At 34.2% G+C, this 26,026-nt stretch overlaps 1 protein-coding gene across 11 annotated transcripts in view; it reads left to right on the forward strand.

Annotated features, from left to right (window-relative positions):
- The window catches only part of CNTN1 (contactin 1), a 379,977-nt gene that overhangs the window by 277,520 nt on the left and 76,431 nt on the right, over nt 1-26,026 (forward strand). For 6 of the 11 annotated variants that reach the window (XM_011537926.4, NM_001843.4, XM_005268651.3 and 3 more), the window contains 2 exons: nt 10,951-11,109; nt 23,162-23,311. In XM_011537926.4, coding sequence (XP_011536228.1) covers nt 10,951-11,109; nt 23,162-23,311 — 309 coding nt within the window. Of the gene's footprint in view, nt 1-1,475; nt 2,760-10,950; nt 11,110-23,161; nt 23,312-26,026 lie in introns of those variants that run through there. The other 5 variants (XM_024448843.2, NM_001256063.2, NM_001256064.2 and 2 more) reach the window with 1 other exon arrangement.

Genomic DNA, 26,026 nt, shown 5'->3' on the forward strand with positions numbered 1-26,026 from the left:
CACTTCTGAGCATCTGCTTCCTGCACTCTTAGCGACTCTCAATAATGAGAGCTTGACCCCGCCCCTCCTTCACACATTCCTGAGAATTTCTCGAGAAGAAAGGAACTGTTACTGATAGAAATATGTCAGATCCCGCTGATGTGTAGGGTCTAAGCAACTTGGAGGACCACTATTTGATATCTTTCTACATTGTCTGGTAGATACAGTGACTAATTCAAGGAAATGGCACCCCTCTCTGGAGGAGTTTAGGAAGGCTCCCTTGGTGACTGTTCACAGCACCCCCTTTTCAGACTTAAAATCTCAAATCACAGATAAGCAAACTCTGGTAAAATACCAAAAACTACCCAAACTGCGTTCAAAAGAAAAAAAAAAGAATATATCTAAAATTAGGATTTTCAGTTCTCATCAAAAGGATTTAAAATTTTATATGCTTAAAATGTCAAATGTCTTACGACCTTTTTTTTACTATTTACCGTAAGGACTGAATTTACAACAAGCAGTCAGCATAGGCAAGTTTTCCTAGTTTCCGTTTCTTCTATTTAAATAGCTATCTCCAGGGGGCAGTAGTGGCTATAAAATGGTATAATTCTAATAATAACTATCCTTAGTTATGCGTAGGGGAATGAGGTAGGTGATCACTCTGTTAATTACATGGTTTTCTATAACAATATTGCTGTATTAATATACACATACTGTTGTTAAATGATTACATGGTTTTCTATAACAATATTTCTGTATTAATATACACATACTGCTGTTAAATGATTTGCATGGTGTGATCTAAAAGCTGTGGCCTTTGGTATTAGGTAAATCGATTAGATATCCACTTTGCCTACCTAACCTATGGTCTTAGGCTAGTCTATTAATCACTGTAAGCCTCAAGTTCCATATTTATGAAAGAGAATATGAGTAGTTACAGTCCATACATTGTTCATGGCAACTTTTTATAAACATTGTCCTTTACTTCCTTCCCTTTACTATGAATGTATATATCGACATAAGAAATAAATAAAATATAACTCAAGACACAGTTCTCACAAAACAGCCTTAACCGTTGATTAACTTTTTCAAACCATTGCTTCAATCTATCCTTATTACTTTTATTCTTAGAAGTCTTCAAGGCATAACCATATGTTTCAGTAGATAGACTTGCACTCTGTGGAATGAAATTTACAAAGGATCCACGAGATTTGTTTCATTTATTTGTTTTTTGAGGAGAGACTTCAGTTACAACGCTTGCTCCTTAGAAAGTCAGTCACTGTGTATGAGGGAAAGGTTTTAATTGGGCCACAGCTTGTGGCATCGGTCTTCTCCCTTTGGCCCCCCGTCCTCAGTGTGTAGGGGAAGATACCTTTCTGTGTTTATTCTTTCACCTTACCCATCAAGGAAATAGGGCAAATCCCCCAAGTGCATGGCTTCCTGCCCCTAATTGGGCATCCACACTCTCCCTTCAGCCTTGATCTTTCCTCTTGCAGGTAAAAACAGAAAAGGTGGAGAGAAAAACATGGTGGATTCCTTTCTCCCCGTCTGTGCAAGCCTGCCTCCAACCTGGTGATCGTTGACACTCACCATTTCTGTGAAAGACTTTTTTTTTTTTAACATATTATACTAGATTTGACTAACTCAATCTTGTAGCTTCTGCAGTTCTCCCCACCCCCAACCTAGTTCTTAGAGTATGTTTCCCCTTTTGAAACATGTAAACATACTTTGGGCATAAATATTTTTTAAAATATAACTATAATGCTTCACTAATACCTTAAAAATGCCTAGTGAACTAACTCAGTACATTATATAATGGCCAAGTGAAAGTTTTGTGTTTTCATGTCCTGTTTTTCTTTGAAATTATATAGCCCAGAAATTAGCTCATTATCTGAAAAACGTATGAAGAACTGATGAATTGTATAATACAGGAGTATTGCCATTGAATGTACTGTTTGATTTATTCAAGCAGGTAATGAACAATGTTGTCAAACTCTCTAATGAGACATCATAATTAGGACATAAGCTAAAAGGGGCATTACTCCGGCAGTCTTTTTTTCTTAATCCTAGTACCATACATATTCTTTGGCATGAAAGAATGAAAAGCATTAGTAAACAACTGAAGTCCTACCATGGCTCTGTAGGGTTTTTGGAACAATTCCTGGAATTGGAAAGTGAAAATGGATAGCATGTGGGGGAAACCCTCATCTGAGTAGCAAGATTTTAGTAAAGATGACTAAGCCATTAACAGCATGCATTCATATTTAATTTTATTGACTCCTGCCATCAGCTTTTGTAGATCGTTTGGGTGGAAGGTTGTGATTTTTACTGGGAGGACTTGAGTAGAAGTGGATGATTAAAATTGAGGAGTATATAATTCTTTCTGGGACTGCTTAAATGTTATTGTTTGAAAATACCTTCACTTTCCCCCTTTGGTCAAAGAGATGTGCTTAAAATTCTTATTCCTTCACAATAAATAATTTTGATTTTCTTAGACAGGTTTGTGTTTAGGTATGAGTTTCTCTTTTACTTCATCTAGCAATTCTCTCTGTGGTCAGAAGAACTCTGAAGAAAGCTTTGAGGGAAATGAATATAACTCTTAAATTATTATATGTGTGTGTATATATATAGTTTAACTTTAAAAATAATTTATTAGTCATCATAAAGAAATAAATGTCTCTGGCTCAAGATGTTACTTATTTCCTTCTTTTATATTTTCTAGTCTCAATTACTGTTCCAAAAGGAGCTATCTTAGAACTTAGACTAGAGATCCAGATTAATTGCCATTTTTGTAAGATGTTTAAAATCAATTTGAGAATTTTCATGTGTCTGTAAACAGCACCATGGAGACATGTATGAATCGTATTAAGGGCATCTTTCCATGTAGTCCATACTGAAATTATACAACCAAGACCAGATAGGAATATTTTTTATTTTATTTTATTATTACACTTCAAGTTTTAGGGTACATGTGCACAATGTGCAGGTTAGTTACATATGTATACATGTGCCATGCTGGTGTGCTGCACCCATTAACTCATCATTTAGCATTAAGTATTTTGTTTTTTAAAGAAATAATAAAAATTCTAAAGGAAATCATAGGACAGATGTGACTTGTACCAGAAAGGGAAGGACAACCTTAAACTATATCAATATCAAGTAGAAGAATTATACAGGTTCATTTATCTTCCTTTAGTCTTGTTCTTATTTCTAACTGGGATCTAAATTTACCTTTATCAATATCAGAGGTTAAGAAAATTACCATATTCCTATTAAATGGTAGAGATATTTAATAAGATTCAGCTTCATCTTAGTACAACTTCAAACATCAACATGATCAGAAAACATTGATTTATATTTTAAAATAGGATATTGGAGCCATTGTCTTAGATAATTTTCAAGGCAAGAACAAGCCTGCAATAAATAATGAGACTTTGACATTCCTTGGCGAAGAAGATGTCTCCTGCCCTAATATGACTGTCACTCAGCAATTTCAATTTTATGTTTACTTGATTTAAAAAGGGAGGATAAATTGTTCTGAAAAGTTTTTTGTTTCCTTAACATTTCAAAGTTTTCACTGAAATTTGTTGTTTTGGTAAAAATAAACAGTTAACTACAGAATATTTTTACGTGGTGCTTTGCTTTTAATTACTTACTAGGGAATTACCAGTGGAAAAAAGAATGTCACCAGTGTTTTTCCTACTTACACCAGTTCTGCAGCATGAATATTTATATTAAATGTATGTGCTATATGAATTCCCCAAAGGGTCAGTAGTTTTGGGGGGTTTATTTCCAACTATAGTTGTTTAGAAAGCCAGTGTTTAAGAGGGAGAGAGCAGGTTAGGGCTACTATCTAAGTAGTGGCACCAACTCAAATGATACGTGGGGTGTAGTCACAGCTACTTTACATCCTGTTTATAAATTGAGACACGAGGATCTTAATTTCTAGTCTTCTATCCAATTTGATTTATCAAAAAAATGAATCTTGATTATTGATTAAGAAAATATGGTCAGCTTACTATGTGTGAATGGTCATTTGGAAAATTTATATATTGTTTTCTCACTATCTTTCCTCAAATGTCTAAATTCCTCTTCATTGAATGTTACTACATTTTTAAAGCAGAAATGACAGAACTGATTAACTATATTTCTCCTCATTTTTAAAAATTAGTTTACATATGAATGAAAACTGAGTAAAAATCAAATCTATATTTTGTTCATACATAGGTATGTTTTTCTAAAAACATTAGTAAAATCCAGGAAAGATTACCAAATATATTTATAGCAATCAATAAAGAGTGGGAATGTATTGAATATGAATTTATAAATGGATGATGTGTTTATCTTTACTTATCTGAGTTAACACTGAAACAAAGATTTAAAAAGGCATGATTGGCCAGGCATGATGGTACACACCAGCACTTTGGGAGACTGAGATGGGATCACATAAGCCCAGGAGCTCAAGGCCAGCCCAGGCAACGTGGTGAAACCTCATCTCCATAAAAATAAAAAATAAAAATAAAAAATAAAAAAAAGCTATGATCAGTATGTTACAGTTTTTGTCATATTTTCCAAAATATTCACTTGTATACAAGTAATTCATATTCTTCCCAAAAAGAAAAGTCAGCAACGGAAACCTAATAACATTTTTGAATGTGATACTGACAATGCTGTTTTAAAAATATTGTTTTTAGGATAGTTGTTGAAAATTTGGTCTCATGACAAATTGATTAGGCTCAGATTCTAACTTTGACATTTACTTGCTGGGTGAACGTGGCCATTTTATTTAACCTATTCCTGTCTGTTTCCTCACCTGTAAAATAGGAAAAATAATAGCACTTACATCATAGGGTTATTGGTAAGAATTATAAAAGATTTGGCAGTGACTTCAATATAAGTACTCAGAAAAAAGCATAATTTTTATTAAAATGTACAGTATAAATTTCCCCTTTTTGAATGACTAATAATTTTATACCATGTAAATTTTATATTGTTAGCAGTTCAAGTCCAAAGAGAACAATAGTGTAGACTTGTTGTCATCCAGGTAATTACTTGGAAGTCTTTTGCAGACAGGCACATTTAAGCTGTATAATCTAAATTTGAAAATAGATGTTTTCTCATTTTGAGCGTGTTATACCAGAAAACCCTGTCTTTGATCCCATCTCTGTACTCTGTCACTGATTAGCTATGTATCTCTGACAACAGCCCTTATAGACTTCGGTGTCCTTTTGTAAAATGGATTATATATATATATATATATATATATATATATATATATATATATATGTTTTAGTGGACTCTTAAATGTATGTGATCTACCTTAAATATTGAAATGTTTCTATTATTTGTCTGTAGTGCATGATTTAATTGTAAAAATGTTGAAAACATAAATTTAGAGAAAGAGAGTAGGGGTGTGGCAAATGAGACTCTGCATTGAACCATGAATGACAGAATGACAGGAGATCATTCAGGCCGTTTCCCCAGTCCTTTACTAGGTTAAAAAGTGACAGAAACAGGTCTCAGTAGCTGTTCGTAAACTTGTTTTTAGTCAACTTTGAAGAACCCCCAAGGTAAGAAACATAACACTAACAAGGACTTTGATAGATCATTATTTTTGTATGCCCCATAGGTGAAATTTTATGGAACATTCTCAGTCAGCATTCTCTAAGAGGAATTTTTAAAGTGAGAGTGAAAGAATATAATGGGTGCAAAACAAGAATAGTAAGAGAGGGGGTCATGCAAATAGGAAAGAAAGAATAGTCCATAGAGGCAGCCACCATCTGAAGTACAGAAAGGTAGCCCAAAGAAGGGTAGCAATTTGAACACTATGATTTTGAATGGGAAAATAAGAATCAAAAAAATCAACACTGAAGTTTGTCCTGCCAACTGCAATGAAAGAGGAATTCAATCAGCTGGATAGGCTGAGCACAATTAGTGGTATCCACTCTTGATGACATCCTGTGAGCATTTGAAAGAATCAGGAAACAGAAATAGCATAAATAGTAGGGATATGATATATGAGCGTAATAAAATGTATTTCAAAAACTCGAGAGCATGGGTAGGGGGAGGTGGTGACAAGAGAGGAGTGAAGATAAAACTGTATTTATAAAAGCATAAAACAAAAAGCATGCTTTAAATAACTTTTTATTCCCTCCTCCATATTGTTCTTTTTCTCCTCTTTCACCTCTTTCTAACTCCCCAATATTAATGTTAGTGAGAAAAATGGATAAAAAGACTTTGCCAGGTCTAGTCAGAAATATATTTCAGTTCTTTTTCCCCTAACTTCAGATCTTTAATAATTACAGCCAAAGAAAGAAAAAAGAAAAACAGAAGACAAATTTGTCATCTAATGTATCTAGGCATTTAAAATCAGGTCAGATTCCAACAGTCTTTTTCAACTGACCAATTTCTCTCTTTTATGTTAACTTTGGGGTAAACAGTTCTCAGAATCCTTAGCTATCTGGCTGAGAACAGCCTAAGAAACTGGAAGGAGATATCAGTAAAGTAATAGTGAAATAAGCTGCATGCATCAGGCCATTTGCTTACATTTTCCCTGGTTTCCTGAAGGATTTATTGAGAGCGCATGGTAATGGAAACTAAAAAAAGAAAAAAAAAAAAGAAAGAAAGAACTCAGGGTTAGAATTATGTATGGTTGGGTTTTTTTCATTGACAAAAGAATCAGAAGAGTGGTCAGTTCTTAAATGCCTTCCTTTGTGCTGAGAACAAAGTAGTTTTGTCATTTTATTTTCTACCTCAACACTTTTCTGTCCATTCTAAACAAAAAAAATAAGCAAGTAACATCAGCCTACACTGCTTGAAAACCTTCCTGCTGAGAGACACTGCAGGGCTGGCCCTGGGTTGAAGTCCGACCGTCCACGTTTGTCTCCGTGCTCTATTTTTTGCCACAAACTGATTCCTTAATACACAGAGTATCTTCACATTCCCAAATTTTCCTCACCTACATCAAAATTACTGGAAAACATTTTACTTTCTATGTTGTCCTATAAACCAAAGAGTATCTGAGACAAGTCTCAAGAAAGTTTATTTTGCCAAGGTTATGAATGCACCTGTGACACAGCCTCAGGAGGTCCTGACGACCTGTTCCCGAGGTTGCTGGGATACAGCTTGGTTTTATGTATTTTAGGGGGACATGAGATATCAATCAACACATGTAAGATGTACATTGGTTCCATCTGGGAAGGTGGGACAACTCAAAATGGGGGGCTTCCAGATCAGAGGTAGATTTAAGGATTTTCTGATTGGCAATTGGTTGAAAGAGTTATTACCAATAGAAAAGAATGTCTGTATTACCATACAGACTTGTGGGTGGCGGAAATCAAGGTTTTCTCCCGCAGATGAAGCCTTCAGGTAGCAAGCTTCAGAAAATAGATTGTAAATGCTTCTTATTAGACTTAAGAAGTCTGTTCTATCAATAATTCCCAAAGGGAGGAGGGTGTAATGAGGCATGTCTGGCTGCCCCTTCCCATCACTTCCTGAACTAGTTTTTCAGGTTACTTTTGGACTGCCCTTGCCAAGAAAAGGGTTCCTTTCAGATGGCTGGGGGGCTTAGAATTTTATTTTTGGTTTACTGTCCCTGCTTTCTTTTAAGTAATAAGTGGTAAATGAATACTCTGTAAACAGATCCCTGGAATGACTGACAAAGTACTAATTAATAACTCCTGCCAGGTAGCTAAGATGCTCAGAAATCTTTTAAAGAAGTAATGACAATAATAATATTGTTAATAGATAAGGTTTCCTGATGGCTTTCTATGTACCAGGCTGAGAACTACATTCTTTAAGGACATTATTTCAGTCCTAACAATCATCTGTTTTGTTTTGTTTTGTTTTGTTTTGTTTTGTTTTGTTTTGTTTTGTTTTGTTTTGAAAAGGAGTCTCACTCTGTCACCCAGGCTGGAGTGCAGTGGCGCAATCTTGGCTCGCTGCAACCTCTGCCTCCCAGGTTCAAGCAATTCTCCTGTCTCAGCCTCCTGAATAGCTGGGATTATTAGGTGTGTACTGCCATGCCAGCTGATTTTTGTATTTTTCGTAGAGATCCGGTTTCACTATGTTGGCCAGGCTGTTCTTGAACTCCTGACCTCAGGTAATCCACCTGCCTTGGCCTCCAAAGTGCTGGGATTATAGACGTGAGTTACCACACCTGGCCTAAAAACAATCCTATATGTTCGGTTTTTATTACTCTTGTTTTACAGATGAGTAAACAGGAACTTAACGATTTTAAGAAACTTGCCCAAGATAAATCAGGGCACAGAACTGAAAGCTGAGTCTATCTTAATTCTAAAATCCCTGTTTTTTAATACAATTATGATTTTAATAGTATTATTTTTCTCAGGCATTTTTGGGGAGATATTTGTAGGCAATTACTAGATGGAAAAATCTACTTCATATCAGTGGAACCATTACCGAGTAAAATTCCCACACCAGGGTTTTGAAGATACCAACACAACCCTTTCCATTTGTCTTCTCGATTCCACCTCTTCATGATGATATAGTATTTCAAGACAATTGGAAAAATGAAGACTGTATTGTGGATGACAATTATGTTTACAGAACTGCCTGAACATTAATTATAATAAATTTATTTATCTATACACCAAATATTTATGAAGAACCTACCATAAGCCAGACATGTATCCGAGAAAACAATGGACAAGTATAATTATAGTGTTTTGCTCAACAATATTACCCTTAAATGAGTGGATGACTGAATTATTATGCATATAATGTCTCAACAAATACACTAATAATATGCAGCTTTATTCTGACCTTTATGAAATATTACTCATTTGACACCTCAAGAACATCAGAGAATAACAGCAGGGAAATGATTTACATTTTAATGGTTAATGACTAACCTATGATAATTTTGTCTTAAATTCCCTTTAACGTTTTCTGAATGCCATACCCCTATGCTCAGAAAAAGTAACTGAATGCATGCATTACAGGGCTTTTTCTTCATTTGAGAAATTCTTTTATTATTCACCTCTAATTTTTTATTTTAACACTCTGAAATATTCTACTTAGTAATTGACTTAGGATGCTGCATTATGTGAAGTAATGAACTTCTTGGTTCTGATCAAGAATGTACACTGTATTTCAATGTGTTTTCTTACATATGAAAAATGCAATATGTTCTCTCTGAATATCAAATGTGTTCTGTTATGTGTCTATTTTCAATTATTTAACATTAAGAAGTCTAAGTATACTATTATAGGTTACAAATTTATAAAAGTTCGCTTGCTTTTCTTATATGTGATATATTTCCAAATAATAAAATTTACTGTCATGGATAGGGTATGTGTCTTGTGTTATTTTAACATTGGTGGTGATGTGTTTTTGTTGATCTGCACACACTTTCTTTCTTGGGACCACTTTAAGGAAATGGGTGAAGGTTTGGGGTGTTGGCCATACCTCTGCAAATACCAATGTTCTTATAAAGAAAAAGGCCATCTAAGCTAAGCAACCCAACTGATATATAAATATAAAGGTATATATTTCAGCTGAAAGATAAAGACAAATGTCCTCTTTAGTATTACATTAATTATGAAAAATGATGGTGCTACTTAATAAAAATTATTAATTATTATATTAAATATGCCTAAATCAATTGGGGGTGGACTCCTTTCTGGTGCAAATAGAACAAGTGATATGTATGTTTAGTTATAAACATTCTGAAATGTCTATACTAGGAGCTGTCTATTAACTGAGAGACTTCTTTAGCTTTTGAAGTGATAGATGCCACTTCACCACTTAAAGGACATTTTTCTCTTATTTTTATTTGTCTTATTTGAAGACAAAAAGCTCTTCAAAGCCCAAAAAGTTGTGTCTCACTTATCTTTTAATTTCTATTTCCCAGCACAGTGCACTGTTGAAAGGAAAAAGGAATCATATTGGTACTGAGTTATGAAGCATCTATGAAAACCTATTTTTAACATTGTTTTTTGTTCTGCCAGAACAATTCTTCTAAGACTCTTCAATATAATTTGAGGTTTTAAGAGCATTCCTGGTATATCTCTGAATTGACAATTATTTTCTATATATTATATAAGTAGAAACATTTTTAATATTACTTATTCTTATGACTATAACTAACATGAAATGTATTATGCAAAATGATACATGAAATTATTCCCAGAAATTTCCACTTCAAGTAAAATGAATTACCTATAACATTTAGAGTTATAAGAAAGTATGTGGGCCAGTGCGGTGGTTCACACCTGTAGTCCCAACACTTTGGAATGCCTAGGCATGAGGATCACTTGAGCCCAGAACTTGGAGACCAGCCTGGACAACACGGTGAAACCCAGTCTCTGCAAAAGAGTACACACATGCACACAAAAATTAGTTGGGTGTTGTGGAGTGCTTGTAGTCCCAGCTACTTGGGCGGCTGAGCTGGGAGGATCTCTTGAGCTGGGGAGGCAGGGAGAGGCTGCAGTGAGCCATGATCATCCCCACTGCACTCCAGCCTGGGTGACAGAGTGAGACCCTAACTCAAAAAAAAAAAAAAAAGCCACAAAGAACAAAGAGGATGTGTTCAGTTCTGGGGAGGCAGAATGACAATAGACCAAATGTTCCCATATCTAAACTGAATTGTGCTACCATCTGATTCATGCATTCAGCAAGAATTCATTAAATCATGCTATGCTACAATCTGTTAGGTCCCCTTGGTGCCAATTGCATATAATGAGTCAGAGATTACTATATCTGCATAACAATGTCATTTTTAAATGATAGCATTTATCCCCTTCCTTAAAAAGAGATACATGAAATCATTCAGTGAAAACTACAAATGATATCACTTCTTATAATCTATATTTAAAAGAAATGCAGACACACTGATTATATTGGACAAATGTTCTTTAGATTAATGGTTAGAAGACATTTTTATATTCTAATGTGTGTTTGACTCACTAGATGGAATTCACTGATTCATTACCCACATTTTCATTTCAGGCCCTCCAGGCCCTCCAGGTGGTCTGAGAATAGAAGACATTAGAGCCACTTCTGTGGCACTTACTTGGAGCCGTGGTTCAGACAATCATAGTCCTATTTCTAAATACACTATCCAGACCAAGACTATTCTTTCAGATGACTGGAAAGATGCAAAGACAGGTGAGTTTTATTTGTCTGATTAATCCGTGCATGTTTTCAAAGTGAATTCTTTTCTCAAAAACAAAAATTTGGAGGTTTTAAAAATGTCATTATCTACCTTGAAAGGCTTTCTTTCTTAAATTTTTTAAAATGTATTCTAATATTTTGGTAATGAAGAAAATTACATAGAATTTACACATTTAAATGTGTTAAAGCTATAGAAAAAGAAGTATCATTTCTAAATCAATATATAATGGAAAGCAAAATGAGGCCTCCTGGGTTTCTTACTTGAGTTTTGTGTGAGATTTACTGCCCCAAAATCATCGGGAAGTCTATTTTTGAGCAAATAGCATTTATAGCATAGTATTTATGACCCTTTTTATTTGGGTATATATGTACTATAGTTCTGAATTTCTAAAAAACCACATTGATCATAAATCTTAAATTAAGCATCCAAATCTTACTACTATAACCCTTTATGTGAATGATCTCACCCGGTTTGAATTTCCTCAAAACAGATTTTTAAAGACATTTTGGATCTTTCAACCTTTTTCTTTTCTTATATTAAGATTTTCTAAAGTTGATCGGGAAAAATTAACTAAGAATAAGTGGGTACTTTCCTTTGTCTACAACTTTGCCATTTGTCATGACTAGCCTACAATATCACACATTAATACATATATTTTCTCCTGTAAAATGGAAGATTGAAGACCTTTTTGATAAAATAACCTGTTTATCTTTGTAACTTTTGACAATATTTTTAAACAAACTTGTCATTGCCAGAATTCTTTAAGATGGAAAAGAGGAGACATAGAAATATTTTCCCAGTTGTCACAAGAGGAGAAATGAGACACGAGTGTGTGAATAAAATGTTCCTCCTTTTTAAAAAACTAAAAAAAAAAAAAATACTCTAATCTCCCAAATCTGCTTTCATTTTAGATTTATCTTAACATAATGGAAATCCCATTTCCAAAATGCCTATATTTGTATTGCTCACTAAGATATTTTAATTTAAATTTACTTCTATTTGATACTTCTCTCCCTCCAGGGAAATAAATCAAATATAAACTTGAGGTCTGTTGCAAGGATTTAGGATATATTTTAATATCAGATGATTCCCCACCTAAGTGTATAAAGTTGCAATAAATTAGAAATAGGTGAAATATTTCCATTACATTATGCTTATTGTTTTAAGAATTATCTGTAAATATTCTTGACAAAATCAGATCATCTGAAAAATAATTTTAAAAACCTTTTAGATACTTTATAAACCTAAAGCATGGGCAGTTTCTACTTTTCTGAAGAGAATGGAAAAGTATGATAATAATGAAACTATTAGAAATCTAGCCACATTAAAATAAGTAAATGGTTTAAATTTGGTTTGGCCCTGAAAAAAGAAATACTAATTGCAATCATTTTCATTATTTATGTATGCTTACTATGTAGCTCAATTTAAATATGCTTCTTATTTTAAAATATCCACTAGAAAGTAAGTTCCATGAAGGTAAAAACTGTTTTATTCACTGTTCTATCTCTAGCACCTATATCAGGGCCCACAGTGCTCATTCATTAAACATGTTTATTGAGTCCCCACTGTGTGCCAGAACCTATTCTAGATGCAGTATGTATAGGTGAGTAGCAGTGAACATAATAACAACAATAAAACCTGTCTTCAAGGAGCTTATATTATAGTAGAAGAGATGCCAATACAGAATTAAAATATATAGTAAGTCATGTGGTGATGAATGCTAGAGAGAAACAACAGAAAAGAGGAATGGGGAAGTAGGAGATGTGTTTTAAATAGGGTATTTCTCATATTCTCACTCATAGGTGGGAATTGAATAATGAGAACACTTGGACACAGGGTGGGGAACATCACACACCGGGGCCTGTCTTGGGGTGGGGGGAGGGGGGAGGATAGCATTAGGAGATATACCTAATGTAAATGATGAGTTAATGGGTGCAGTAAACCAACATGGCACATGTATACATATGTAACAAACCTGCACATTGTGCACATGTACCCTAGAACTTAAAGTATAATAAAATAAATAAATAAGTAAATAGGGTACTTCTGATATTAGTAATAGCCACTGCTGCTTTCTGAAAGTTCCTATTTCCATTATATATCTTTTCCAATTCTTCTACTTTCATTGAATTTGGGTCTTTGAATCTAAAGTATGTTTTCTGTTGGCCACATATAGTTGGATTTTTCATCCAGTTTGATAGTCTCTGCCTTTTGATTGAATTAATCAATTAACATTTAATGTTATTATTGATACAGTTGGATTGTAGCTGCATTGTATTTTTGCTTTCTAAATATTTTACTATTTTTGTTCCTCTTTTCCTTGTTCACTGCTTTCTTTTGGAAGAAGTGAGCATTTTCTAGTGTAACATTTTAATTCCTTTGATGATATTCACCGTGTGTGTGTGTGTGTGTGTGTGTGAGTGTATGTGTGTATGTGTGTATATGTATAATCCTGCTCTGAAGGGAAGTTTATATTCACTATACATGTGTATATTCAAACACATACATACTTAATGAATACTCTAGGGCTTACCAGATACATTTGAATTTATCAGAATAGGTTTTATAATTTTATTAGCTTAAATTTTCAGTGAATATGAAAGTGTTTCTCCTACATAGTTCTATTTCATTCTTCCTCTTTTGTGCTATTACAGTACTATATATATATACTATATATTATATTACTATATATTAATAGCATATATAGTAATATAGTTATATATTACTATAATACTGTATATTAATATTTTGTTATATATGCTATTATAGCATATTTTATTATATGCTATTATAGCATATTTTATTTTATGCTATTATAGCATATTTTATTATATGCTATTATAGCATATTTTATTATATGCTATGTCATATATAGTAATATATATATTGCTATAATAGCATATAATATATGATATTAATATTTAGTAATATATTATTAAATATATTACTCACACACAGAGGATTAAATATATTACGCACAAAAGAGGAAGATGAAATAAAGCTATCTAGGGGAAACACTTTTATACTCAGTGAAATATATATAAATATATATATTACATCTCTATATGTCACAAACCCAATAATCTTATATTAATATTATCACTTTCTATAAATGTTTGCCTATTAAACCAATATGTTTATATTATCCTTTGTTAATTTGTCTGTTATATTATCCTTTATATTTACTACTTCTAATCCTCCTCACTTGTTCATGTTGATTTGAATTTCATCTGTCTAAGTCTATTTTGCATTGCTATAAAGAAATATCTGAGGCCGGGTGATTTTGAAAGAAAAGAGTTTTATTTGGCTCACAGTTCTGCAGGATATACAAGAATCATAGTGCCAGCATCTGCTCCTTGTGAGGGCTTCAGGAAGCTTTCATTCATGGTGAAAGCAAATTGGCTTGTCACATGGTGAGAGAGGGAGCAACAAAGAGAGAAGCAAGGTGCTAGGCTCTTCGTAACAATCAGTTCTTGCATGAGCTAATAAAGCAAGAACTCACTCATTATTGGAAGAAAGGCACAAAGTCATTCATTGGGAATCCACCCCCATGACCCAAACTCCTCTTATTAGGCCCCACCTCCAATATTGGGGATCAAATTTCAACATGAGATTTAGAGTGGACAAATATACCAACTATGTATCACCATCTGATATGATTTCTTTACAACTTTGCTCCTACCTGTCCCCTTTGTGCAGCTAGTATCAAATATATTACATTTAAATATATTATAGATCCAATAAGACAATTATATATATACATGCATATATAAATGCACAACATATGTGTGAATATATATACATACATATATAGTTTTCTACAATTACTTTTAAATAAGTTAAGAGAAGATAGAAGAAAAAATAAGTATTTATATCATCTTTTATAATTACAAAATTACCTTTACCAATGCTCATTATTTTGGGGGAGTTTATTCAAATTGCTGTTTGGGATCAACTACTTTCAACTTGAAGAACTTTAATTTTTTTTTGTAAGATAAGTCTTTTACTAACAGTTTCTCTCAGTTTTTGTTTATCTAGGAGTGCATTTTGCCTTTGGTTTTAAAATATATTTGCTTGGATATGATATTCTTGGTTGACAGTTTTTGTTTTTCTTTTCTTTTTCACTGCTTTGAATATGTCATCTTAGATGCCTTTTTTAGGCTGAGAAGATTGTTTTCTATTCTATTTGCTGAAAAGTGTCTCAAAATCCCTTTATATTTACCAGTATATTTATTATATCTGGGTTCCTCATTCCTTTCTGTAAAACTCTTTTTTTATCTGGTATAATTTGCATTACTAAGAAACTTATAGCATTTCAAATTGTTCAGGTTGTTGGACTCAAAGGTTTTTACATTTTTTCTATCAGAAAATGTCTTTAATTTCATCTTTAAGTATTATTTTTATTTCATACAAAATCCAAATTGCTCTTCATTTTACTTTGATCACTTTAAAAACATTGTTCTGTTGTCTTTTGTCTCCATTGTTTTGGGTGAGAAGTCAGTTATTGTTTTAATCATAATTCCCTGCACTTGATATGTCCCTTTTATGTGACTGCTTCAAGATTTCTTTTTGTATTTGCTTTTCAGCTTGATAAAATGCATTTATCCTAATGGAGCTTGGCTTCTTGTATTCTTAGGTTGATATTTTCTTCAACTTTGGAAAATTCTTAGCCATTCATTACCTCTTGAAATATTTCCTCTGCTCTACTCTCTCTTCTTGGTTTCTCTTGACACATATGTTAGATTGTTTGATGTTGTTCCACAGATAATGGACAGTGTGTGTGTGTCTGTGTGTGTGTGTGTGCACGCACGCATGTGTCTGTTTATCTGCGTGTCTGTGTTTCTGTATGGATAATGGCTAATTTCCTCTCTTGCTTACATAGATAATTTATTTTGTTGGATTCGGTCTGTGAATAATCCCATTAAAATACTTTTGACCTTCTGCTTTATTGTGTTCAGGAATTTTTATTTCTAGCATTTGGCTGCTTTTAATATTGTTCACATAATATTCCATGGGAATTTCCTATTTGTTTATACAAGTTGTGCATGTTTTCCACTTGACATTTTTACATACTTAACATAGTTATGCTAAAACCCTATGAGATGATTTAAACATCTAGACCATCTTAAAGTCTAGCTCTGTTGATTTATTTTTTCTTTCTTGACAGTGGGTCATATTTCTTTGTTTGCTCATGTGTCTGATAACTTTTTGCTCAATTCCAAACATTGTGTATAGAAGAACAGTGATTACTAAAGTAAATATTAATTGATGTCTGGGAAAGTGCATGTCATTACTTTAGGGACTGAGTCAATCAGATTTGTAGTTGAGATGATCTGAGCATTGTTAGATTCAGTTTAGCACAGGCTTCAAGTAATTCGAATGTATGATCAGACCTCCTACATATCTGAGTGTCTGGAGGTTTTCCTGTCCTGCTATCAGATTTCGGCAGACTCTTCTACGTTGGACCCCACAGAGGGCTCTTTCAGTTCCCCTGCTTCTGCCCAGATACCTGCTGCTGATAATCAGTCTAAAGCCCAGAGTGCTCGGGCTTTTTACTCAGTTCTCCTTCTCTTCCCTTAGACTTCAACAGGTCCAAAGCACCTGTCCCTCAAGGGGAAGCAGATCTCTCTCAGCACTCCTGCCACTATCTCATGTTTGTAGTATCGGTGCCGCAGAGGGAAGTCTTTTTTGGCTCTTTTGTTCTGCCCCAAAACTTTCTTGAGTACACATGATGAAGGCCTATGAAAAATAATTGTCAAATTACTATAGATTCTCCTTGTTCTTTGATCTCCCCACGTTTTTAAACAGCCATACCAGCCTATACTTTGTCTGTAAATATCTGTTAGAAGTTAAACTGTTTTCTTCTTGCTAACATCTGTGACTACAACCTTCTTTCATCACTGTTCTACCAATGATGAATTTTAGTCCATTGTGTCTTCACAAACTCAGCTCTCTAATGGGCTTTGAAAGATGGTGGTTTATAGATTATCTATGTGTTGTTTTTGTTAGTGTACTAGTGAAGTTCTCTTGTGACTGCATCCTAAGTGGAAGTGAAAAATATTTTCTGCAACAAATACAGAAATAAAAATCATATGGTTTTTATTTATAATGTGACCACTAGGAAACAAAGGTACAGGATTAAATTCAGCTTCATGAAGGTAAATACTTAAGATATGAAATAAATATGTTTCAAAGATATCAATTTTCAGTGTTCCAAAGATTAAATTTAGAATAATGAGATGAAGAAATAGACTATGTACTTTTAAGGCAATCTATTGTAAATTTTACTTCTCTTGGACTGTTTTTAGCAGATGGACAGCAGACAGCTTGATGCTGTTCCTGGAGTTGTACAAGATGCTCAGGTCGTTGTTAGAAAATTGTGTTTGATTCTATGCTGTTGTTTTCAGCGGACAAATGATAGAATATTGTTAGTGATGGTGTGTGTGTATGTAAGAAGATGTTGGCCAGAACATGAAGAGGCATAGTAACCATGCTATGAGAAATAGTTAAGAGAACCTGGAATAGATTATGCAACATGAAGAAAATATGTTTATATTTAAATTTCTGTGTTATGTAAGACTGAGTTGATTATTAAAATTTTTCTGCAGTTAACATCTTTGCACATAAATGTTTCTCTATACTTTAGATTATTTCCCTAAAATAGATATTTGTAAATTAAATTGTTGAGTGTAAACAGCCAAAACCCATGAGCTGTATTATATAATCGCTCTGCAATAAAGTAGAACCAGTTTTTATTCCCATCATCAGTATTTGAGTATCTCTTCTGCCATATCTTTACCTAGTATTAGTATTATCTTTTTAAAAATGAAAACTCTCTAGGTTTATTGTAGGACAGTATCCTTTTTTTTTTTTTGCCTTTCTGTTTCTTCAGTTTTTGTAGTTCTCATTTCAAACATGAATTTCTAGATTTTTATGAGGCTACATTCGTATTTCCCTTAGAGAAGGATCAAGGATTCACACCTTCTGAGATGCCAGAACACAGCTTGCTTTACTTTTGCTTCATGGAAATTTGCCTAACCTATGGCTCCTTCCAGAGTCCTGCCAGGCGATCCATGGGTTGGGTCTAGGACCTGTAACATAAGACTGAGTAGGTGCGTTAGAACCAGTGAGAAGCCTTTAAATTCTCATTTCCAGTCTCAAACAGACACCTGAATTTTTATTTAGAATCTCTGAGTGAGTAGGTTTGTTCTGCGTACTTACAAATATTTGGGTTTTAGATTGAAATGGGGGACATCAAAGATTCTGCTTGTGTTCGGATCTTAAAGAAATACCAGGACTCACTCAGGTAACTTGTAAAAGTCTACAATGGAGGGGCTTACATTGGCTGGAGTTATTCTTGACACAATCTGTTTTTTAGTCCTGAAGTCATTCTGGCTGTTTCCAAAGCTGCTCAAACAATTAATCAGTGTGCTCTAAAGGCAGGGTACCACGAGCATGATTTCCAGGCAACTAAAACACAATGAATTATTGGTCTTATGATACCCATGAGGCTTGATTCTCTTTTCCTCAAAGAATGGTGGAAACTTCTTTTTATTCTAAGCCTTAGGGCCTCAAGGCATTTGTAAATAGATCTTTGAATTATTGCTTACAGCTGGTTGCTAAACTGAGTACTTTGGCCTAAGTACTAAAGTAAGAACTAAGGTCTCCTGCTTTATATCTCTTTGCTTAAAATTTACACTAAAAGTAAAACAAATTTTTAAAGAACTACCCATTTAATACACAAAGTTTAGTTTTTTTTAAAAGAGAGATGCCTCTAACAGGCATTATACTGTTAAGATCTGATTTTTCACTGCTGAGATTAACTGTATTGCCTGACTCAGAACTGACCCGGTTAAAAATCAGGTCTAGAACAAGGTCTGCTCCTGATCCATCCCCAGTATTTGCCTCCATTATGCAAAGTACTTTACTCTCTTTCTGGCTCCAAGAATAACAAACAGGTTGCAAGGAACTTGGCTGAAGAAAAAGGACACAAAGTCTCTCCGTTCCTGTTTCTCTTCATTTGGCTTGAGGCATAAATCTGCTTCCAAAGCAAAGCTGACTTCTTTAGGGAGCAGGCCTCTGCTCCCAAACTGCATAGGTGATTTTGGAAGCAGTAAAAAAAGAAGAAAGAGAAGAAGAGAAAAGGATCCAATAGTTCCTACCAGGGCTTAAGGAATAGGAAAGAAGATTGCATTAGGTACAAGTCCATTTATGAAGACATTTAGGGCTCACAATAAAACATATAAAATGTGTTTTAAAAGTAAAACCATGTTTTTAAAAAGCATACAAAGCGGCAGTGGAAGAGATAAATGAGAATCAACTCACAATTGAAGGGAAAGGAAGAGGCCTTAAGAAGATAGAGTAGTACTATCTGCTTTAGACAGGACAGGACAATTTATGGGCTGAATACATGACAATATAGAGTCATGGAGTGATGGATATTATGTGGTGGGGCAAGGTAAAACAGTGCCCTCCTTCTCTTACCTGCCTGATTCAAGGATGGAGAAGACACTAAAGTGATTGATATAGACAAAGCTATGCTTCTTGCATTGAGACACTGTCCACTCTAAATAGACACAAACTTTAGAATTTGTATTACATATATATTTTAAGCAAAAATGTATTAAGTACTTCTATTTGTAAAACATCATGCTGGGCATACTAGGCCCTGAGGGGTTTCAAAACATGAATAAAAAGTAGAAGAAATGTATACATGGCCACAAATGATAGCTAGGAACAAGCAAGGGGGAGACAGAAGAAGTATATTGAGTGTGGGCCTCATGTGGACCTAGCCAGTCTTGGAGTTCCATTTGTAGTGATGATATGGGCTACTTAGCTCAAGATAAGAGCTGGGAAAATAGACAGAAAGTGTTTTAAATTATGTACTTCTGATGTGGTTGGGGTCAGAAGTGCCACCGAGATTTGCAGAAGTGAAAGCAGCTTAGAGAGAAGAGACACTTTTAATTCTTGGTACATCTTTTAAAAATGATAGACGTTAATCATGTTTTTGCTAAATTATTCCTACTACTTACATAGATGGTTTTATTGAGGGGATATTATAACTATCTACCAAAACATGTTTGTTTTAGATATTTGTATTCTCGTAGGTACTGATGTTAATATAAATTATCAAGAAGAAGAATAATTGGGTTTGTTCTAAAAAGAAGAGTTGTCAAGCTATTAGTAATCCTGGTGGGAATACTATTTTTAAATATTTACAGCAAATTCCTTCCTTAATAATTCAGAATGTCCATTCTGGAATTCCATCCCCTTAACTTGCACTTCGTTTTCCCCCTTTGAGAGAGTTTTATGCGTCTTTGGACCAAGGGGTTCTTCCTAGGGTCCACCTGCTTGAGGTCATGACTCTGAGTCTGGTTGCTTATTCTTCCTTTCTTCATCTCACTCGTTAAAATCAAAGCCTTGGCTCCTCAGCTGGAATCCAGATCTAGCATAAAATGACTCCTGTTGACTTTTCTTGCCTTACCTACCATCATTCCTTCACATATTTTTGGTGGTCAACTATGATCTTCTACTTTATGAAAATGTCTTCCATTTGTTTGGGATATTTTCATACTGGATCCTCACACTTTTTATATGCACTCAAAATCAGTCAATCAACTGCAGCTTCTCCACACATCCACCTGGTTCTTCTTTGTCTGTCCTAGCAGATACCTGCCCTTACCTGTTGACCTCCCAGCTTCCTGGAAAAGCCCCAGTGTAGCCTTGACTATCATAAGAACACAATATCCTCATTCTTTAAAATGCTTCCAACATTTCCATCCTTAAAACCCTTAAATTGTGCTGGAGTTTTGGGACTAGGAAGCAGGGGAGCAGGTCAGACTGCCTCAAGCCTCCTAAAACACTTTTGTACTGTACACCCCTCAACCCCTGCCAAACTCAAGAATTATAAACTCACAAATAGCTCCATCAGCTTCTGCCTTTAAGGTTCAGTATTAGTTTTCTAGGGTTGCCAACAAATTAACATAAACTTGTTAGCCTAAAACAACAGAAATTTACTCTCTCATAGTTTGGAGACCAAAATCAAGGTGGTGGCAGGGCTGCATCCTCTCCAAAGGCTCCATTCCTTGCTTCTTTCAGCTTCTGATGGCTCCACATATCCCTTGGCTTGTGGCTACATCACTTTCATATCTACCTTGGTGGTCTCATGGCCTTCTGCTCTTCTAGGTGTGACTCTTCTCTGTGTCTTTCTTTTATAAAGACATTTGTCATTGGATTTAGAGCCCACCTAGAAAATTTAGGATAATCCTACCCTAAGATTCTTAACACTTACAACCTTAATTTGAGGGTCTGCCAAGCCTTTTTTTTTTTCCATATAAGATAACATTTACAGGTTCTGGTAATTTGGACATGGACATTTTTTGGGTGGAGAAAGGTACCATTTAACCCAATACAGCCTGTTTTCTATAAGGGGTTAAAATCATTGAAAAGTGTCCAGTAAAAAAGGGCTACCTTGGCCGGGTATGGTGGCTCACGCCTGTAATCCCAGGACTTTGGGAGGCCAAGGTGGGTGGATCACGAGGTCAGGAGATCAAGACCATCCTGGCTAACACGGTGAAATGCCGTCTCTACTACAAATACAAAAATTAGCCGGGCCTGGTGGCATAAGCCTGTAGTCCCAGCTACTCGGGAGGCTGAGGCAGGAGAATGGCGTGAACCCAGGAGGCAGAGCTTGCAGTAAGCAGAGATCACGCAACTGCACTCCAGCCTGGGTGACAGAGTGAGACTCCGTCTCAAAACAAACAAACAAACAAACAAACAAAAAGGCTACCTTACTCAGCGTTATCAGTTATCACTTCACTCTGTAAACAGCCCTTCACAAACCAAAACTTCACTTTACTTCTTTCAATTACCTAGAAAAATGTCCTTATGCATGTGAATTAAAACAAACAGTTTCCGATTTGGTGTGAGGGAGGAGTGAAAGAGGAGATAAAGAGGTAGAAATCCTTAATGAATCTTAATAAATCAAAACAGAGGCGAAGGTAAAGGGAAAATTTTAATCAGAAAGTCAAAAATATATGTCAAATCTACAGAACAAATCCATAACAAAATAAGAAATTAGATGGCAAAAGTAGTGTCTAGCAGAGTTAAAATTATGGCAGGGTGAGATGGGACAGTCTGAGCCATGCGAGAATTTGTCCAAAAGTAGAAACTGGACCCTGGGGTGCTTAGCATTTATTGTGTTGATGGACACGTCATCTTTAAAAATTATGTATTCATGGTCTACATTGCCAGATAAAACTTCCCTAAATGATAAGATATTGCGTCATAGACAAGCCTACAGGTACAGGTATTTATATGGATAGGTTGATTATTAAAAACTCGTGGAAATATTTGAGGCAAGCTTATAATAATGCACAGATCTACCTTGGTTGCATGTTTTATTATACCTCAATTAAATAAGCAAGCTAAGATCACATTCCACCCATAATTTATCATCTAATCTATATTAGTATCTAGTAGCATGAATTCTGAGGGATACTTAACAAATCTTAATAAAATTATTATGACATTTATTATCACTTGTCCAAATGATTTGAGTATAAATCTATAAAACCAAGTAAAAAGGATATAAACATTAACCTTTTCTACCTAGTTATAAATCGTTTGCTAGCCATAGACTATATCAGTGGCAATACATAAAATTTTGCTGCTCCAATTGTACCTTTATCTCAGGAAATCTTTTTAGATTGCACCTTCAGAATACAGCTCCTTGCTATTCAAGGTGCAGCTCATGGACTAGCACCAAGCCTGGAGGCTTGTTAGACATGCAGAATTGCAGACTCCCTGCCTCAAACTTACTTACATAGGTGATTCATATGCATATCACTCTTTGTAAGTTTATTATATATTAAACCTCTTCTCTTACTCCCTTGAATTTAACATTTTGTCATTCCTAGTTGTAGTTTTTACTTCAACTCAGTGTAATATATACCATTCTCCCTGAAATAGTAAAATAAAAAGGGAAGTTATAAAAGTGATAAGTTAATCAACCTGTATTCTCTATTTACTATTTATTTTATTCAGATCCCCCAATTATTGAAGGAAATATGGAGGCAGCAAGAGCAGTGGACTTAATCCCATGGATGGAGTATGAATTCCGCGTGGTAGCAACCAATACACTGGGTAGAGGAGAGCCCAGTATACCATCTAACAGAATTAAAACAGACGGTGCTGGTATGTATATACAAGAAACTTGAAATTTTAAAAGATTTCTAAATACAGTGCCACTTTCATATATGGTTGAATGTATTTGAAAATAATGCTCTGAGGTAAGTGATTCATCTGAAAAGCATGTGTGTGTATTTCACTATCAAGACAGTCAAAAATCAAAAGAGGAAATATGAAGTTTAAGAATATTTTAAGACAGTCAAAAATCAAAAGAGGAAATATGAAGTTTAAGAATATATTAATTAAGAATTAATATAGAGGAAGAGGTGAATAGGAACTACTGAAATGCCACTGGAGACCATTGGAATGACGTAAGTATTTAGATTATAAACTTTAATGTAAATTCTGAATCTTAACTAGGCAGACTCTTGCTTGATTAAACATGTTTCATGATTTAGAAGGTTCATAATTCTGTGTCTCTCTCGAACTCATTTATAACTGAATGGCCAAGTCGGTGGATATTTTATGGTAAATACCAACTGCAATTAAATAGTGCCAAAATTTTAGGTTTGATATTACTTGGAAATAATTTTTTCCTAACATTTAAGGATAAGTAGACATCATGGTAAATATTCTTCAGAGTTACATGCGAACCACTGATAGTGAGCATATCACTTCTAGATATGATCTTAAGTATTCAGAGTCCAGAGTGTTCACCATTACCCCGTGGAACCAGCTCTAGATATGATCTTAAGTATAAATTATATTCAGACATTTAGGTATGAAAGAATTAGATTGAATCTCTCCGAGACATTGTTTTTGTTATTATTATTCTTAAAAAATATTTAATGTTGTCACTTCTACTTTGAGATTAAAAAATAATTTAAGACAGATCTTATGGTAATCATGTCTAGATGATGAGCCTATATATTGTAAAGAAATCATTTTCTGAGATAAATAATACAGATAATATTTGCAACAAAATTCCAAGAAAGAAGGAGGGAGGCCTACATCTATTATCAGTGTCAAAGAAAGTATCCTTTCTCTCTGACGATTTTTACTTCAAAGAATGGTGTTCAGCTAAGACTTAGGTCATATTGTATTAGTCAAGAAATCACAGAAAATTAATTAAACTCCATGATTAAAGGTCTGTATTTGAGATAGGTAAGTAAAAATATTTTACCTGAGATGTTTGTTTAGACCAATTTAATCACTTAGTATTTTTCTGCAATTTTAGTGAATGCTTGTTAAATCAAATCAAATACATGATCTGTCAGTATAAAATTACATAGGTAAACCACCAGTGGAATCATGCCACAGTTTCTTTATATTTTTGTTTTTAAAGAAAGAGCAACAGTGTTCGGTCCATAATACAGAAGCCTCTATTACAAACATATGCAGCTCTAGGGAATAATAATAAAAACCAAACACAAGAATCCTGGCTATGTGGTATCTGTCTCCTATAAAGCTTCATCTTAGATTACCTACATATCCTGATGAAATTTCTGTGAGGTAGAGAAAAGCAAACACTAGTGTTCATTTTGTAGGTGGATATGCTAACACAAAAAATTTAGTGTTTAGGTCATATCTAGTATCATAGTTAAGGTTGAAATCTAAGTTTCTATTAGAACTCTAATAAAGATTCATATAAATAGATGTGTTTCTAGAATCCTGCTTGAGAAGCCGACTTTGAGAAAACTCAATGTATGAGAACAGCTGTCAGATCTAAATTTGAATTCTGAATCTTGCAATTAGTCATATTAACTTAGATAAACTATTTAGTGTCTCTGAGTTTATTGCCCATTAATGAACATGAGCATAGGACTACCTATGTCAAAATGTTATTATGAGGATTAAATGAAATGGATGTGAAAATATTGAACATAGACCAAGTATTTTAGTGCTTTGGCCCCTTAATTTCAGAATTATCCTTTTTTATCTAATAAATTACATTAAATTACATGAAACTTTAAGAGATAGTTTACTTATAGCAGTCCCTGTTTAAAGACATTAGAACTCATAACTATATTTAGAAGTTAGGCCAAGGAACTGAGGTAAACAGAAATGTAGAGAAGTGATATTAAGAGATCACAGTAGCATTTTAATGGAACTCTGCCATTCATTTAAAATCTTCTCTACACCATCTAAAACACTGAAGTTTGGCAAGTCCTAGTCAAATGAGCTCAGAGAGGCTACATTTTTTTTTTGATATAGGGAATAATAAAAGAAGAGCTATCATTAGAATCAGAACAACATTTTTCCTTAGTGATATAGGGGAGAAGGAAAAAATAATAGAGTATTTCCTGCTCTAAAGGCACAGTTGTTACTTTAAACCAACTTATTTTTGTCATCACCTTCTTTAGGCATCACCTCTTACATTTTCTCAAATGGTATTTTGTTAAGGACTTAGTTCCCCATCTGATGTGCTTACAAAATAACTTCCCTTACAAGCCATTAGAGCCAAGGCCAAAAGCAAACACACCTATTCACAGAGTAAGATACAACCTTGTAGTGATATGAGATGATTCATTCTTCTCAATTGTAAAAAAAAAATTAATTCTGTAACTTCTAACACATTTGTTAATCTATCATCAGAAAATATTTTGAGATCTTTGATTAATAAACTCATTACTATAGTTTACACATTTGCAGTATATTGTCAGACACAGTGCTTAGTTCTCTGTTTGCATTGCTTAAGTTAATTCCCACAATAACTTTATGAAACAGATGAGGAAGTTAAGATTACACCCAGCTAATGTGAGGCAGAGCTGGGATTCAAAT

Source organism: Homo sapiens, chromosome 12 (assembly GCF_000001405.40).
Source record: "Homo sapiens chromosome 12, GRCh38.p14 Primary Assembly".
In the NCBI taxonomy this organism is placed as follows: Eukaryota; Metazoa; Chordata; class Mammalia; order Primates; family Hominidae; genus Homo; species Homo sapiens.